At 41.2% G+C, this 17,865-nt stretch overlaps 1 protein-coding gene and 2 long non-coding RNA genes across 11 annotated transcripts in view, besides 1 other annotated feature; 2 read left to right on the forward strand and 1 right to left on the reverse strand.

Moving 5' to 3' along the window:
* The window catches only part of GACAT1 (gastric cancer associated transcript 1), a 68,018-nt gene extending 56,213 nt beyond the window's left edge, over positions 1-11,805 (forward strand). The window contains exons 3-5 of one of the 2 annotated variants that reach the window (NR_126370.1): positions 356-416; positions 9,538-9,660; positions 11,728-11,805. This is a non-coding gene — a long non-coding RNA (gastric cancer associated transcript 1). Of the gene's footprint in view, positions 1-355; positions 417-1,753; positions 2,025-9,537; positions 9,661-11,727 lie in introns of those variants that run through there. The other variant, NR_126369.1, reaches the window with a different exon arrangement.
* Positions 12,049-12,343: an enhancer, noted in NCBI's record as "tiled region #10849; HepG2 Activating DNase matched - State 8:EnhW". NCBI's record gives its function as "activates a minimal TATA promoter and a strong SV40 promoter by Sharpr-MPRA in HepG2 cells {active_cell/tissue: HepG2}" and the evidence as "EXISTENCE:reporter gene assay evidence [ECO:0000049][PMID:27701403]".
* RGPD4-DT (RGPD4 divergent transcript) lies at positions 12,740-16,445 on the reverse strand. The gene is made up of 3 exons (NR_024439.1): positions 16,357-16,445; positions 15,345-15,802; positions 12,740-13,861 (listed from the first exon to the last, which is right to left on the reverse strand). It is a non-coding gene; the product is annotated as an RGPD4 divergent transcript (long non-coding RNA).
* A 122-nt stretch (positions 16,446-16,567) lies between these two features.
* RGPD4 (RANBP2 like and GRIP domain containing 4) overlaps positions 16,568-17,865 on the forward strand; it is a 65,653-nt gene continuing 64,355 nt past the window's right edge. For all 8 annotated transcript variants that reach the window (XR_922911.4, XR_007073111.1, NM_182588.3 and 5 more), the window contains exon 1: positions 16,568-16,761. Coding sequence is in view for 6 of the 8 variants with exons in the window: in NM_182588.3 (NP_872394.2) it covers positions 16,690-16,761 (72 nt within the window). In the remaining 2 variants the exon portion in view is untranslated. The remainder of the gene's footprint in view (positions 16,762-17,865) is intronic.

Here is a 17,865-nt window from a genome sequence, read left to right on the forward strand (position 1 = left end):
ATCCGCAACTTGCACGTGGTCGCTGACTCCAAGTTTTCTGTGCCACAAACAGAACCCTAGTATCTCTACCTGAATTTCTTTCACTATGATTCTTTCTCTGTGAGGATGCCATATTGTTTACTTCTGGAGAGGAGAACTACCTTCTACAGTGGAGCCTAACTTTTACAGGGTCTTCCTAGGGGAGGCTTGAAAAAGTAAACAATTTGTTTAAGTTTTCTACAGGTAATGTCACATCTAGGTTGCTCTGAATGTATCTGGCTCTAAATATAAATCTGAGAGAAAGCCGATAAAAAGCATGAGCCCTGAATGTCTGTTCTAGATAATCAGAAAATGTATTCTTCTCTTCTGTTTACAGGAGCAGAATTAGAACAATTTGATTCTGAATACATTTAAGAATTAAAAAAAAACAAAATAATGTAAGTAATTATTAAATTTTTAAATAATTTGAACACTTCATTTAGTTTTTTTACATAGCTAAGAGGGGACAGCTCCTTATTTAGCAGAGGCCTTATATATTCAGACATACAAAGTAGGCCCAGCAGCTAGCTACCCCTGGGAGTGGAGAAGGGAGAACAGTTTTGCATAAGAAGGTAGGGGGAGCATGAGTGTCGCAAGACACTGTCTGATGGAGAAATAGGAGAAGTGGGGAGGTGATCTAGTAACACAGAGGAAACCAGGGACAGAAGATAAAAAGAAGCCAGGGAGAAATGCTGGGTGAGGATGGGGGAAGAATGTTCCAGAATGACAGTACCAGCTTTCCACTGTAAGTTCTTCCCTCTCTGCACTTTCCAAACTTTTGCAAATAGTTCACTATCACAATAGCCATGTAGTGGCAGAGCTGTGGGAGAATGAAGAAAAGGCACATGTCCCGTCTTACTGGGAACTGCACAGAATAGCCAGTGTATGCCATGGTCACAGGCTGCAAACTGTGCTCCCTCCCGATCTCCTCCCTGCCTCTCTCTCCCTCCCCAGCTGCTCCAGCTCCTGGCCTTCCCTTGGCCTCTCAAACACAATGAGGTTTCCCGGCTCAGGGCTGTTGCCATTTCCTGGGCCCTTTTGTCACCCAGGTCTTCTCTTCTATGTCACCTTTCCCAAGAGCCTCCTTGAGCCACCCGATGTCAAAGAGCCCACACCATGTCATGCCCCCATGTCACCGTCTTCTGTTGTTGTCACCACCTATCATCACCTGGAATTTCTTTATGTATGTGCTGTTTTCTGCATTGCTTACCTCTGTGTCAGCAGAGCTGCATTTCATGCTCATACATACTTGCCAAATGAGTAAATTCAAAAATAAACAGGACAGAGAAAAGCCAAAAGTAGAATAAGAGCATATTGGGATTGCAGGCAGACAATAGCAAGCAATAATCCAGCATGGCTTAATCTGCCATGACTCTCCAAATGTTGTGTATGTGATGCAGATGGTATGGAATCTGTTTGCATATTAAAGGGAAGGCTGACCTCAGATGCACAGAGGGCTTGGGAGCATGGATTACCTGTCTTGTTTTGTCCTGAACAAGGAGCCTTTTTATCCATTTGAGTCTTAGGCAATCTTAGCCAATTCTTAATAAAGAATGGCTGTTTGTTTTTATGTTTTGTGTATGTATAGTTTTCCATAGTCACATTTATTTAGCAACACTTAAGTAGCACATATTTTATATATCAGGCAGTGTTTAGAGAACTTAATAAATATTATCTTATGTATTCTTCATCATAACTCTATCAGGTAATGACTATTATTATCCACTCTTTACAGTTAAGGAAGCAGATTTAAGTCATATCTCAGCCAAGAACACAGAGCTAGTAAGTGGCAGATCCAGGACCATGCCAGGAAGTGTGATTTCAGGATACAAGCTCTTAAGCATTACATTAGGCCGCCTCTCTTACGGAATCATCCAGTGTTCAATCTCAAAATACTTACTGGTGTTAAAACACATCCTTCCTTCCAATGCATCCTCTTTATCTTCACAGCCGCCCCTTTTATGGAATCATCCAGCGTCCAATCTCAAAATACATATTGGTGTTAAAATGCATCCTTCCTTCCAATGCGTCCTCTTTCTCTTCATGGCAAAATGCTGCATATGAACAAAACCCACACTCTCGAATGTTCCATTCTGAAAGGAGGGAGTATTTCAGGCAAGTGGGTGACACTAATAATAAATGGTGAACTTAGTGTCATTTCAGGTTTTTTTTGGTCAGATAAAAGCTATATATCACTTCTTGCTTTAATATATGATGGCAATGTATTGAGTAAGCGTAATATAAGTGAACCTGAAAAGTGATCCTCAGAGCTTTTAGCAACACGATGTCTGGAGAAACTAACACCAAGGAAATCCCCCCAGGATGTCCCTAAAAGTAGCACCTTTAAAGTCTGTAAAGAGAATACATTTATTAAGTTAATGACAGAGCTTTATTTAATGCTACCAAATTCTTTGAAAAGACTATCAAGCCTCTGATCAAACAGTATTTTATCCTGCCATTAAGTTGTTATAATTACTCAGTATTTAGCCAGATGGCAAATAATTCCCAAAATCAGACCAGGTGTTCAAGAAGCAGAGATAATCACAAAGCTGATGACCGTGGTGAAACTAATTTAAAATGCTGTAACAGTGGCACAGTGGTGCTTCACATGAAAACTGACCAAAAAATTTTTTAAAAAAGAAAAAGAAAAAAGGTAAGAAAAAAATTGTTATTTCATGAAAATGAGGCTCAATAAATGCAGGTGTGAGAAAGCAGTGTTTAATTCTACTGTTTTTAATGCCAAGTTTTATGTCAATCAACAACTGTTTTGACAGGTGTAAGACCTATCGGAGGCTTAAAATGTGCACCAGCAATAAACACTGAGAAGGCCTCAAAATTAGCACCCGTGGCAGACGGTGTCAACTCAAATAAGTATCAAACTTGGACACAATCTAACTTTTCTCACATTCCTGCTTCATGCATAGAAGGCTGGATTTCACAGTCACAGCTAAAAGTCACGGAGTTCTTAATTCGTTCTCAAATGAAGTGTTTCCAATAGGCAGTCATCCCAGCTTCCTATGCTCACCCCACTCAGATGACCTAAGCAACATTTAGGTTCAACCAGAAGAAAGCTGGATTTTTGAAGCCTTGTGAGTAATGACAGAGTCCCAGGAAATATCTCTTGAGGCTCTGTTAGGTATAACTATTGGCATATTATGAAGCACTTCCCATTTTTGATAAGGGATTATTTAGACGAGGCGAAGTTAGGATTGAAGTTAGCCTACCTAGGCCCTCATGCATCTCTAATACTGACTGAGGATGCCATGAGTGGGCCAGATTTGTGGATGTGTGACCCGTGCTTAAGATCTACATTAGAAGGACCCTGGGCTTGGTCTAAGTCTCTGTTATTGCCAAGTTGAAATTCTTAATGTTTTGAAGAGAGGACCTCATTTTTCATTTTTCACTGAGCCCTGCAAATTATGTAGAAGGTCCTGACTGGGTGAGCTACTTAATCTCTCTGAGCATTAGTACTCATTCACAAATACTATTTGAAGAAACATATGGTAGGAAAACACCTAGCATGTAGTAAGCACTCAGTAGAAGCTATAATTGTTGATGCTTTGCCACTGTTATTGTTATTGGTGTCATTGTTATTATTAGTATTGTGACTTTTTTTTTTTTTGAGACGGAGTCTTGCTCTGTCGCCCAGGCTGGAGTGCAGTGGCGCAATCTCGGCTCACTGCAAGCTCCGCCTCCCTGGTTCACACCATTCTCCTGCTTAGCCTCCCGAGTAGCTGGGACTACAGGCGCCCACCACCACACCCCAGCTAATTTTTTTTGTATTTTTTTAGTAGAGAAGGGGTTTCACCATGTTAGCCAGCATGGTCTCGATCTCCTGACCTCGTGATCCGCCCGCCTTGGTCTCACAGGTGTGAGCCACCACGCCCGGCCATATTATGACAAGGCAGCTCATTTGCCTCTCAGCAGCAATTGACAGAGTTGTCCATGCTCTCCTCCTTGTAGACTTTATCCACTTGCCTTTCAGGACATTTCATCCTCCTGACTTTCTCCTGCATCTCTGAACTCTCATTTTCAATGTTCTTTTCGGGTTTGCATCTCTCCAACCTCTAAGTATTGTAGGGCTTCAAAACTCATCCTTGCATGTTTGCTATTTTTATTTAAGCCCATCCTACATGGTTTTATCCAGGGTCATATGTTAAATATCACATATGTTGATGTTATAGCCAAATTGTCCCATCCCCAAATAACCATATTTTAAATTCCTAACTCCTAGTCCCTCAGAATGTAATTACATTTAGAGATAGGGTTTTTAAAGAGGTTATTAAGTTAAAATGAGGTCATGAGTGTACCATGAGGTACCTCATGAGGCATAGAGAGACCATGTGAAGACACAAGGAGAAGACAGCTGTCCACAAGCCAAGGAGAGAGGCCTCAGAAGAAATCCATCCTGTTGCCACCCTTATCTCTAACTTGTGACCTGCAGAATCGTGGGAAAATAAATTTCTGTTATTTGAGCCACCCGGTTTCTGGTACTTTGTTTTGGTAAGCTAATAGAGCACAGGGCTCTCAAATATTTATTCTCAACTCAGACATCGGCCCCAAATGCTAGGTGAATTACTGTCCACTTGACACCTTCACTTGGATGTCTGTTAGGCACCTCACACTTAACATGAGTTCCTAAGATTTGCCATTTCAAACTTTCATTCTTTGCTCTCTTAGTTAATGCTACTTGCAGGCTTTCATTTGATCAAACCAAAAACCTTGGAATCATCCTCACCCTTCCCATTTGCTCAGGCTCTGCATTGGATTGGTCCGTAAGTCCCACAGGCTCTGACTTCATACTGTATCAAGAGCCTGACCTTTCAGCACCGCATCCTCACTCTCACTGTGGTATTACTATCCTCAACCACCTCTCACCTGGGTTATTCCCTATGACCTTTCAGTCTATTTCCAACACAACAGCCACAGTGATCATGGGAAAAATTATAAGTCAGATCATGTAACTCCTATTTTCAGATTTCTTCAATGGCTTTCCACCTCATGTAGAGGAAAAACCAAAATCCTGACTATGGGTTGAAGTCTACCCCACTCCCACCATCTTTCTGATCTCAACCAGGCATCATCTTTGCTCCACGTGCTCCAGTCACTCTGCCCCAGGCTGTTATTCCAATGCTCCAAGCATGCTCACATCCGAGAACTTGGCGTGCCATTTTCCCTTTAGTAGTCTCATAGCTTTAATTTAACCAGAACTTCCAAACATTTTCTATGCTCCTTTCCTATTGTTTTTCTCCTTATCACTTACCACTTTTCAACATATTCATTTTACTTATTATGTTACTCATTATCCTTTTTCCCCCACCAAGTCTAAACTCCTTCAAAACAGGCATTTTTCTTTTGTTTTGTTTACATTCATAGCACCCAGTACAGGATCTTGCACATAGTAGGTTATGAAAAGATACTTGCTGAATGAAAATGAACTGTGAATGAAAAATGGAAAAGTTACTGCTTTTTACTTTCTATACACTTATACCAAATTGGAAGTATAGTCAAGTGTGTATATTGACACCGTGCTACATGATACCGTCCATAACACACCATCTGTCTCCAAGGCAGGGAAAGTTTATTTTTAATAAAACTCTGTTGACTTTTAAAATATATCCTTTATTTTCTAGATAAAATTTCAGAAAACTATGTGTAATTGGAGATATTCTGACCTTGGAAGTTATGTATCTTTTATTTATAATGCAGAGACTTGATATATCTCAGCATATCTATATCTATGTACCAAACTACTTCACAATTCAATTGCTGGCATCCATATCAAATAGAGGAGAAGTTGTTCTGCCACAATGTAAGTCATCTTCTTTTTCTAGCCTTCAAAAATAATTTAAAATGCCTGGATTTCCCCCCAGGAGGTTTCTCGCTGGTTAGCTCAGACTTTTTCTCATGGTATCTACCTTCCAAGAGGTCAAAAGAGGAGGCTGTGGCCTCTTGAGTCTGAGCTTGGAAGGCCTGCAACATGTCTCTGCTGCATTCCACTGAGTCAAGCAAATCGCAAGGTCAGCTCAGATCCAAGGGGTAGAGAAACAGACTTCACTTCTAGGTGGGAAGAATGGTGACCTCACAAAAGGTAATAGCAATTTCAACTTCGCTTGATCATGGGAAGAACAGAAACATTACATCATAGGGATCAGAGGAACTTTGTGTCATATTTTGCAATCTACTATTATCTGCCATTTGTCCGAAATTATTCATGTTACTTCTCTTGGCAAACTGTTCCTGTCATCTCAGAGACCCCATAAGGCCAATCGCACTAGTTTAGCAGGTCTAATTGTCATAAACTTAAATCTTCCTATGTCAGTGTTTCACAGTGCATGGTCTCCAATCCAGCAGCATCACCTGAGAACTTTCTAGAAATGCAACTTTTGCACCCCATTAAGAAAACTACCAAATCAGAACCTCTCAGGAGAGGGAAAGGATCTTCTGTTTTAATAAGCCCTTAAGATAATTCTTATGGATGCTAAGGTTTGTGAGCCTCTGTTGTATATTTTACCAAAGAGTCTGAGCTCTTGACTTGATCCTCAGCCAAAGGCCACTGCTTAAAATGGGAATCATTTGCAGAATAGAGAAACTAAGGATGAAAAATAATTTAATTTTCCATTCAGCCACTCTTAGAGATGCTAGATTTTCTCTAAATTTTGTTCGTAAGCTGAAAAGTTTCTGCTTTAGTTTCTCTCTCTTGTGCAGTAACATATAATGAAGCTAGAAGAACTGAATTGACCTTTCCAATATTCTGCCTAGAAATCTCCTTAGCTAGATCCATATATTTTACTGGGGACCTTTTCTGTCATCCAAGTTATCTCAGAACACAATCATTTCACAACTAAATAGCATGGGTTGCCCGGTTTTAGCCTTCAATAACAATTTACTCATGATTTCTTTCGGCTTACACTAACATTTTGCCATTTTGTTTCATTTTTTATTGGTCAAAAATTTCCCCACTGCTTCTCCAGTTTTGGCTACCACTCATTCCCAAAGCAAAGGCCACATGTTTTCAATTTTTGACTCATTAACATTCTACTTCTAGGTACTAAATTTTGTAATCATTATTTTTTGCTATGTATCGACCACCCCAGAACTTAGGATGTTAAAACAACAACCATTTGTTTCCTCCAAAACTCTCAGATTTGCAGTTTGGGCCCAGCTGAGCCACGGTTGGGGTTCTCTTTCATGCACGTGGAGTCAGTTGGCAATCCTGCTGAGGGTTAGTTCTTAGAAGAGAGCCTCGCTTACATGTCTGACAGCTGGCTAGGCTGTGAACAGAAGTGCCTCTGTCCTCTTTTCCATGGCCTTTACAGCAGACTAGGCTTTCTCACATGGCAGCTGGGTTCCAAGAGGGCAAAATGGAAACTTCAAGCCTTCCAACGTCACTTTTTTTGCATTCTTTTAGCAAGGTAAATCACAAACTTGGCCTAGGTTCCAGGGGGAGGAAAAAGAGACCCTCCTTTGTTGGGAGGTGCAAGAATGGCTCATTATAATACAATGTCTGGGGAAATATCTGGCCATATTTTACAGTATACCAGATTATGCTTGGGAATATTTGCAATCTAAGCTCAAATCAAGGTTGAGTTAGTGGCCCCCAACTCCATATAACCTAGAACCTTTACCAAAATAAGATACTATATAAGTCTCTGAACCAAGAGATCTATGAATAGATTTTATCAAAGGCGTCATATGAAATGAATAGTTATAAGTCAGTGTGTTATGCACCAAAGGTGGCAAGAGCTGAACAATAATGACAGCCACAGTGCTATGGGTCAAGTTCATCCCCTCTGAAACTCATGTTGAAATGTGATTCCCAATGTGGCAGTGTTGGGAAGTGGGGCCTTGTGGGAGGTGTTTGGGTCATTAGAGTGGATCCTTCATGAATAGATTAGTGCCCTTCCAGGGGAGTAAGTTTTCCCTCTCATGAGACTGGATTAGTTATTGCAAGAGCAGTTTGTTCCTTCTCATGTTTGGTCTTTTAGGACACCCTTCCTTCCTTCCTTCCTTCCTTCCTTCCCTCCTTCCTTCTCCTTTCTTCTCCTTTCTTCCATGAGTTGAAACAGTATGAGGCCCTCAGCAGATGCAGCTGCCCAATTTGGGCTTTTCAGCCACCAGAAACACAAGCCAAATAAACCTTTTGTCTTCATAAATTATCCAGCCTCAGATATTCTGTTATAGCAACACAAAATGGACTAAGACAAACTGTGACTTCTGAAATGTCAACTCCTAGAACTTCTTAAGGCTTTTTTTTTAAATTTTATTATTATTATACTTTAAGTTTTAGGGTACATGTGCACAATGTGCAGGTTTGTTACATATGTATACATGTGCCATGTTGGTGTGCTGCACCCATTAACTCATCATTTAGCATTGGGTATATCTCCTAATGCTATCCCTCCCCCCTCCCCCACCCCACAACAGTCCCTGGAGTGTGATGTTCCCCTTCCGGTGTCCATGTGTTCTCATTGTTCAATTCCCACCTATGAGTGAGAACATGCAGTGTTTGGTTTTTCGTCCTTGCGATAGTTTGATGAGAATGATGGTTTCCAGTTTCATCCATGTCCCTACAAAGGACATGAACTCATCATTTTTTATGGCTGCATAGTATTCCATGGTGTATATGTGCCACAATTTCTTAATCCAGTCTATCATTGATGGACATTTGGGTTGGTTCCAAGTCTTTGCTACTGTGAATAGTGCTGCAATAAACATACGTGTGCATGTGTCTTTATAGCAGCATGATTCATAATCCTTTGGGTATATACCCAGTAATGGGATGGCTGGGTCAAATGCTATTTCTAGTTCTAGATCCCCGAGGAATCACCACACTGACTTCCACAATGGTTGAACCAGGTTACAGTCCCCACCAACAGTGTAAAAGTGTTCCTATTTCTCCATATCCTCTCCAGCACCTGTTGTTTCCTGACTTTTTAATGATTGCCATTCTAACTGGTGTGAGATGGTATCTCATTGTGGTTTTGATTTGCATTTCTCTGATGGCCAGTGATGGTGAGCATTTTTTCATGTGTTTTTTGGCTGCATAAATGTCTTCTTTTGAGAAGTGTCTGTTCATATGCTTTCAATACTTACTTATTTTCTCCCATTTTGTAGGTTGCCTATTCACTCTGATGGTAGTTTCTTTTGCTGTGCAGAAACTATTTAGTTTAATTAGATCCCATTTGTCAATTTTGGCTTTTGTTGCCATTGCTTTTGGTGTTTTAGACATGAAGTCCTTGCCCATGCCTATGTCCTGAATGGTATTACCTAGGTTTTCTTCTAGGGTTTTTATGGTTTTAGGTCTAACATGTAAGTCTTTAATCCATCTTGAATTAATTTTTGTATAAGGTGTAAGGAAGGGATCCAGTTTCAGCTTTCTACATGTGGCTAGCCAGTTTTCCCAGCACCATTTATTAAATAGGGAAGAATCCTTTCCCCATTGCTTGTTTTTGTCAGATTTGTCAAAGATCAGATAGTTGTAGATATGCTTGTTTTATCGTCAATTTTCTCTTTCAGGTCAGGGACATTTTCTCTTTGTTTCAGTCCTGAGTCCCAAGTCTAGGCCATGCAGACACAGAGAAGACACTATTTTTAAATGAGGTATTAAATGAAATGAGTGTGCAAGCACTTGGCAATCTGGTGAGTTTGAATATTTCCTTAATTGTTAAATTCAAGAAATTATAATTCATTCTACTAAGTTAAATTCGTAGCTATTCTTTCATGTGAATCCTAGAATAATTTATGCTTTATTATGAGACCGAGAGTTTAAAAAGTCCTCTTACCTAGTGTTTTCTAAATTCATAAAATATATTAATTTGAGAGATATTTATCTTCAGGATTTGGGAATAAGCCATCAGAATTCCCTGGAATGTTCAGGAGCTCCTAAAATCATTTTGCACTGTATTTTTCATAAGACAATTTCCATATTTTACAGTGATAATTGTTTACAATATTAATAAACAACAAATATTTTTAAAACTAAAATGTTGGTGGCTTTTCTATTATAAAGACGTGATCAAAATAAATGGTTTATCATTATTATGAACCATTATATTATTTTGATAACATGTAAAAATAACTTCAATTTTACACAGACATTTGAAAATAGAAAGCATTAAAAGAAAAAATATTAACACAAAACAAATATCAATAAAAATCATTTAAAATTGAAAGATAGTAGAAAAACATTCATTGTTTAAAGGTAATTCTTAAAATAAAGTTTTAAAATAAAACCTGAGTTGTTCTATCTAATAATTTTGACCTTGCTTTGTGATAAATATTCTAGAACAAAAAGAGGTTTGTTTTCTATTTTGTTTTATTCGTTTATTTTTCAAAGATGAAAATATTTTTGTTTTCTTGCCCTAGTTTTGGTTCTGTCATTGAGAATGATACTGCTCTGTCCAATTCAGATTTTAGATAAGCTTCTGATTTTAAATAGCAGTATTCCACAATAGTCTTTCTGCATGTATTTCCTCTGTTAGATAACTAGTGCCCATGAGGAATGCTCAAACACTGCAAAACACCAGCAAACAGAGCCACATAAAACCCAAGTTGACAAGCACTACTCAGAATCAGAATTGGCAACTTAAGCACGTACTTTGCTTTCAATACTTACTTATTGTAATACAACTCGTAGGATAAAGTCTACAGTGCATATCAACTTATTAATACTTGTTTTATTTTAAGAATGTCCAACCTTAAGAGTGGATCAAGCGCTATGAACAAGACAATCAGAGCAGGGTCATTTTCCTCTGTCCCCTTCCTAAAATATTGTCCTTAACTCTGTGTCCACTTCCAACTCAGTGTCAATGGATCCCTTAACCAACTGATATCTCTATGTTGGTTGCCAAGCATTATTTCTCATAGGATATAATGCTGGTCTTTCCTGTTTTTCGAATTTCTTGTTGTTTTTCAGAATAAGGGACTCTTAAAAACATAAATTTCCCGAGACATACTGGGAATAAATTTCCACCTAGAAAAATTACGCCCACCTCACCATATGTCACTTCATAAAAACCTTGGTATTGTACTTTGAAACAATTACCGGGATGGGGGAGTTCTTTCTATGTAATGAATATTTGTAAGAGGTTATTTTGAAATAAAGTGAAGATGTATGTTCTGTTGAATGAAATTAAATATCTGTTTCATATCTGGTAATTTATTTTCTCTCCAAGCTGCACTTTGGTTTCTAAAGAGATGAGTCAATTTTATGCCTCAATCTTAAATTACTCAGATGTTTGCAAAGATTCAAACATTTCCATATTTTATGTTCACATTTTGTAAGCTCTTACATTGTGAAAATAGGTATTTGCTAGCTATTAAAATATAGGTAAAATAGGTAAACATATCTCCAGCGTCAAACATTGGTAAAGGAAAGGGCTGAAAACAAATTTATCTTATTAATACTTAAACAAAAGATTCTCATTCCATTTAATACAAAAGATAGAACATGACTTTTATAGCTGCTCAAAGAGAGAATATTGTACTTTTATTTCTGGCTTAAAATAAGCCTTTGCTATTCCTTTTAGGTTTGTTTTCTTTTACTCCCTTTTGTTAGTGAATATCTTACCAAAATATCTTTAGGAATTCTTAGATTTTGGGTCATCAGGAATTCTCCCAAATCTGATCATTGCTTTGTTTTTTTTTTTTGTTTTTTTTGGTTTTTTTTTTTCTACTTTATGCAACCTGGCACTTGGAACTATGCAGATACCTGCTTACCCAGAAGCTTGTTCTGACAGCCTTCTCATTTGAAATCCCAGGAAATATAGATAATTCACTCTGATTGCCAAAGAATAGCCAAAGCCAGCAGCAGTGTCTCTTTTATGACATCACGTTCTTAGAGAAAGCATGAAGGAGAGACCCTGCTGGATAAACTAAGGTCAAAGCTGAAATTATTGTTAGAACTCTGTTTAAGAAAAGCCTCTGTAAGTCTTGGTGCGAGTGATTATTAAATCTTCCTGTATCCGTGGATGTTGGAAATGGTGGAGAATGGGAGTGGAGGATTCTTATAGATTCAGAATAGATTCAGAGTAGCTGGCTCTACCAAGAAGCACAAGTTTTACAATACTATAGACTCTTCTGAATATCCATTATTGCGGAACTCCACAAAGCTACCTCCAGCCCCACTGACCTGTATTTGTTCTGCAGTTGTCTATGTTGGACTCTGAACCACCCAGGCTCTTTCTGCACTTCGGGCTGAGTATGCAGACTTGCCGTTATAGTGCCTGGAGCTAGTTACAGTTCTACCCCAGGAAGAGAAGGGCCAAGCCCTGCCTTCCACACCCAGTCTATTCTGACAGCCTAATATTTCATCCTGTATGCTTTACCTGGGCCAGCCTCTGAAGAAGCCATTGGGTTGCTTCTTTAGTTTTATTATCTTCCTGGTTATTGATACTCGTTTTGCCCTGAAGTGGCATCCATTGGATCATTCTCAGCTTCAAACTCAGAAATCCTGTCACCCAAGTAGAATGTCAGTTGTCCCCTTGACCAGAAGGAGATTTCAGACAGCAGGAGCTACTCATCAAGGAATTTGAAGGCTCTGTAACCACCTGTTGCCAACTCCCACTCCACCCCCCTCCATCTCTAAGATAGAGAGGTTAGATTAGGCAAAATCTAATCCACATCATACAACTCTGTATGATGCAATTAATCAGTGATTCTATGATCTCCCTATTAACAAATTTATGCAAATGGGATTCAAAGTAAAAGACTCACCAAAACAATCACAAATGTAGTTTATGAAAATAACATAGGACAAGTACTCTTATATGGAGTCTAGGTGCTTTTTAAAAACAAGTTCGTTAACAAATTTTCATTTTACATTTTCTCCAAACTGTTGTTCAAAGACTAAACTGTAAATGTAAATGTAAACATTTTACATTTTCTCCAAACTGTTGTTCAATATCGGCACCACCATTTTCTGGAAGTCAGGAAGGTGCTAGCCACTACTCATGATCTATATTCTTCTATAACTTTATGTAAATTTGGAGTTTACCCTGAATTTCCCTGCCATCTCATTCCCTGCTTTGGGCCTAGAAAATATAGGTTACCAAAAAGCCTATGGTCTATCCCTCATGACTGTCGGGAAGGCAATGTCAATATTTCCATTGCATATGCTACTCATATCCAATAGCATCTGTTTCACTTTGGATGCTAGGTTGTAGTTATGAAGACTTTAAAATAATAATAAAAGCCTTAACCTGTCCCAAGGGCTTACAGATGTAAGGGCATTTAGCTGAAAGGAGCACACAAGATATGGAACTTGAAAACCAGCTTATTTTGTTTCTCTCCTCGATGGTAAAATGACATGTCTCATTTGTGAAAATATGTTTTTATCGTCTGCCATGTTTTGTGTTCTGTTTAGTTGGTGCTTATACAGTCAGAATCATATTTTTTCCCTTATGGGGGAGAAAGGGTATAAAAACTGAAGTGATGAGTTTTAAATAAATAGTGGTTTGGGAATTTAAGCATGATGCTGGCCCACATTTACAAAAGTACATTGCCTGCATAAGTCAGTAAATGGGATGAATATTTTTAAATGCATCATTAAAAGCCAATATGCAAATAATCTTAGCAATTATAATCGCATCTGTGCCTGGGCCAATGGAAGAAAATAGACACATTTCACCTTATTAAGCATCAGCATAAAGAACTATCTTCACCAGCACCAATATAAAACACACACACAGAGGCATGTACAGACAGGTGAGTCAGTTGTATTCTTCATATGGAGTCTTGCCTCTTCCCTTTTCATCAACAATTTCATTCCTTTGTTTGTGGCTTATTTTCAGGTGACCCAGAGAAGGGAGGATCTGCAAACTGCATGTTAAATCTCATTGTCCTAATGGATACATTGAAATAGACAGAGGAAATTAGTTGCAGAATTTGAACTAAAACCAGATTTTTTTAAAAGGCTAATGTAACTATGCTTAAATCTAGCCTTGCTTAAAATCTTTCAACGGTTCCTTGTTAATCTGATAAAATCCCAAATTCAAAGCCCACCCTTCCAGCCTCATTTTGTTCAGCACTTCTCTGTCTTCTCTATTCTCTAGCCACACAGAATGTTTTCTGTGCTTCACATGTGCTCTTGCATTATCAACAACCTTTCACATGTTGTGTTCTTGGCCTAGAAAGCTGTCTTTTATTTTTGATTGGGTAATACTCATCTCATAAGTCTCTGTTTAAACATTATTTCCTAAATAATGTCTTTACTAACCCTGGAGTGAATTACATTCCCTTGCAATATGCTCTTCTTCTTTGTTAAGACTCATCACATTTGTCATTAGTTATTATTTTTCCCATGTGCATCCTCCCTGCTGGACCATAAGCAACTGGAAAGCTGGAATGACGTCTGTAGTATTATAATTATATCTTCCACTTTATAGGCAGTGCCTCAGATCTATTATATATTAAATTAAAATTGAATAATTGATGGTTAATTGCTTGGTCATGGTATCTTGCTTTCAATGATTTCTGTATTGTATCATACTTCCCCAATATAAAATACATTTTACAAATATATTGCTCTATAAATGTTTACAGTTTGTTGTGACTAAAGATGATTTGAGATGGTCCTTTCAGTAATTAAAATTACTGCATCTTCCAAGTAATGCATGGTGGAGGAAGTTACCGATTTGAAAGGGAAGCATTACTGCAGGGCCAAGCAGTTTTTTAAGAGTTCTTCCTTTACAGTCATCTTTTTGTGGTAGGGATTAGGGCAAATACTGATGATGTCATATTGTAGTATTGCTCCTACTCAGTTCCAAATTAAATCCTACACTTAAGAAAAATTTGTCTAGCAATATTTTAATATCACTATTTAGCAAAGCAATGTTGAGTCTCCTAAGTTCATCAGCTCTCAGTTAAAGCTAAATTTTCATTTGTTTCTCTTATTTTTATAGTCTTTTACTTCTCAGATTAGCTGCCTACATTCTTCCTGATGATGAATCTACCTGCTTTTTACTTTAGTACTTAAGCTCAGAAGAAAGCAAATTCTAACCTGTTCTTCTTGTACAACCAACCCACCTCATACTCTTTTTCCGACAACATTACCTATGACTGCTAAGTTATGGGCGTGTCTGGATATCTAATTGAAGTGCAAAAGGTGCCAGTGTCTAGAAAAAAATAGATCATGTCTAATCTCATTAGCATTTTTCTGGCCTTTAAAAATTTAAGCCTCCTATTCAAATGATATGATGTTCTGACAAGTTCAAATTGTTTATCTCTTACACCAGCTGGGGAAAAAATGAATTCTCAAGTACCTTATATTTTTAAAAAGCCTTAAATAGTTGACATCATCCAAAAAGTTTGGTTGATCTACTTACGGTCATTGTACATACAAAATGGTCTGACTGAGGCACACAGGATGACTCCAGTATAAATAAAAGGTAATGAAGGGAGTGACTTGGGATGTGATGAGTGACTTGAAAATTTTAAATGTGAGACTTCATCATTGCTGTTATCATCATTACTGTTATCATCACTGTCATGACATTCAGGACGCAAAGCGGCTGCTGCCAGCCCCATGATAGGGGGAATTGGAGAAGTGTCAGAGTGTTTTGTGTGATTTGGAAGAATTTCTTTTATAATGGAAAATGGTTTCCAACTTTTTTAGAATTCTATAAGCCTGGTAATAGTGCCTTTTTGATAGGTGTAAGGTCATGGAAATGATAGTCTAACACATTGGCTGATGGCTTTTCCACTTCTCTGGAAGATTTTGCTAGTAGACTTAGAGCCAGGACCAGTGGAGCTGAATTTTTCCTGGTGACTTTTAGAGTAGAATCTGGAATAGAATAAATACATCTTAGTCTTGATTGTCAGTGTTGACAAGATATTCACTTAGAGATATATAAATTGAATTAAAGGAATCAAAAAAGGATCAGTGGTCATGACTAGAGATTAAGATTGGAAGCATCTGCATGTAGATAGTAACTAAGACCATTTAAATTTTTTGTTTGCATATCTGCAGTTAAGCAAATAAATGCTGTTCCTGTATTTTTGAATAAATAATTGCCTATAGGGGAAATACCACTAAATACTGGTCTCATTTGTTGGCTTTTTCATTACTGTCCTTTCTTCCTGGGCTCTTAGTTCCTCAGGTGCCTCAAATCACAGTTTAGTCTTTTTTTTTTTTTTTTTTTTTTTTTCTTTTTTTTGAGATGGAGTCTTGCCCTGTCATCCAGGCTAGAGTACAGTGGGGCAATCTCACCGTACTGCAACCTCCACCTCCTGGGTTCAAGCGATTCTCCTGCCTCAGCCTCCCAAATAGCTGGGACTACAGGCACCCGCCACCACACCTGGCTAATTTTTGTATTTTTAGTAGAGATGGGCTTTCACCATGTTGGCCAGGCTGGTCTTGAACTCTTGACCTCAAGTGATCCGCCCGCCTCAGCCTCCCAAAGTGTTGGGATTACAGGCGTGAGCCACGGCGCCCGGCGGGCAAGACACCCTCAGAGCACAGGGTGCTGCCAAGAGCCCAGCGGAGTGCAGCTCGAGCGCCGAGGTCGCCAACGTTCCACACACTGTTGACGCAGGACACAAGTTCGTCACAGTGGTCCTCCGCCGGCTACGCGGAGTCAGTGGCTTTCAGGCGCTTTCCTGTTGGAATTGGCGACTGCTGCGGGGCTGAGCGCTGGTTTCACGCGTCTCGGGAGCCAGGTTGGTGGCGCGATGAGTTGCAGCAAGGCCTACGGGGAGCGGTACGTCGCCTCCGTGCAGGGCTCCGCCCCGTCGCCTCGAAAGGTGAGTGGATCTCGAAGAGACCGACGGCCTCGACCTGGCCGGGCGGCGGAGGCCTCGACCTGGCCCGGCGGCGGCCTCGATGGCTCAGGCGTCATGGCTCCCGACCGGCGCTGCTCCCTGGCGCGCTCTGTTGAGGCGGCGGCCTCGACCCGGCCCGGCGGCGGCCTCGATGGCTCAGGCGTCATGGCTCCCGACGGGCGCTGCTCCCTGGCGCGCTCTGTTGAGGCGGCGGCCTCGACCCGGCCCGGCGGCGGCCTCGATGGCTCAGGCGTCATGCCTCCCGACGGGCGCTGCTCCCTGGCGCGCTCTGTTGAGGCGGCGGCCTCGACCCGGCCCGGCCGCGGCCGCGATGGCTCAGGCGTCATGGCTCCCGACGGGCGCTGCTCCCTGGCGCGCTCTGTTGAGGCGGAGGCCTCGACCCGGCCCGGTGGCGGCCTCGATGGCTCAGGCGTCATGGCTCCCGACGGGCGCTGCTCCCTGGCGCGCTCTGTTGAGGCGGCGGCCTCGACCTGGCCCGGCGGCGGCCTCGATGGCTCAGGCGTCATGGCTCCCGACGGGCGCTGCTCCCTGGCACGCTCTGTTGAGGCGGCGGCCTCGACCTGGCTGGGCGGCGGCGGCCTGGACCTGGCCCGGCGGCGGCCTCGATGGCTCAGGCGTCATGGCTCCTGACGGGCGCTGCTCCCTGGCGCGCTCTGTTGAGGCGGCGGCCTCGACCCGGCCCGGCGGCGGCCTCGATGGCTCAGGCGTCATGCCTCCCGACCGGCGCTGCTCCCTGGCGCGCTCTGTTGAGGCAGCGGCCTCGACCTGGCCGGGCGGCGGCGGCCTCGACCTGGCCCGGAGGCGGCCTCGATGGCTCAGGCATCATGGCTCCCGACGGGCGCTGCTCCCTGACGCGCTCTGTTGAGGCGGCGGCCTCGACCCGGCCCGGCGGCGGCCGCGATGGCTCAGGCGTCATGGCTCCCGACGGGCGCTGCTCCCTGGCGCGCTCTGTTGAGGCAGCGGCCTCGACCTGGCCGGGCGGCGGCGGCCTCGACCTGGCCCGGCGGCGGCCTCGATGGCTCAGGCATCATGGTTCCCGACGGGCGCTGCTCCCTGGCGCGCTCT

Source organism: Homo sapiens, chromosome 2 (assembly GCF_000001405.40).
Source record: "Homo sapiens chromosome 2, GRCh38.p14 Primary Assembly".
In the NCBI taxonomy this organism is placed as follows: Eukaryota; Metazoa; Chordata; class Mammalia; order Primates; family Hominidae; genus Homo; species Homo sapiens.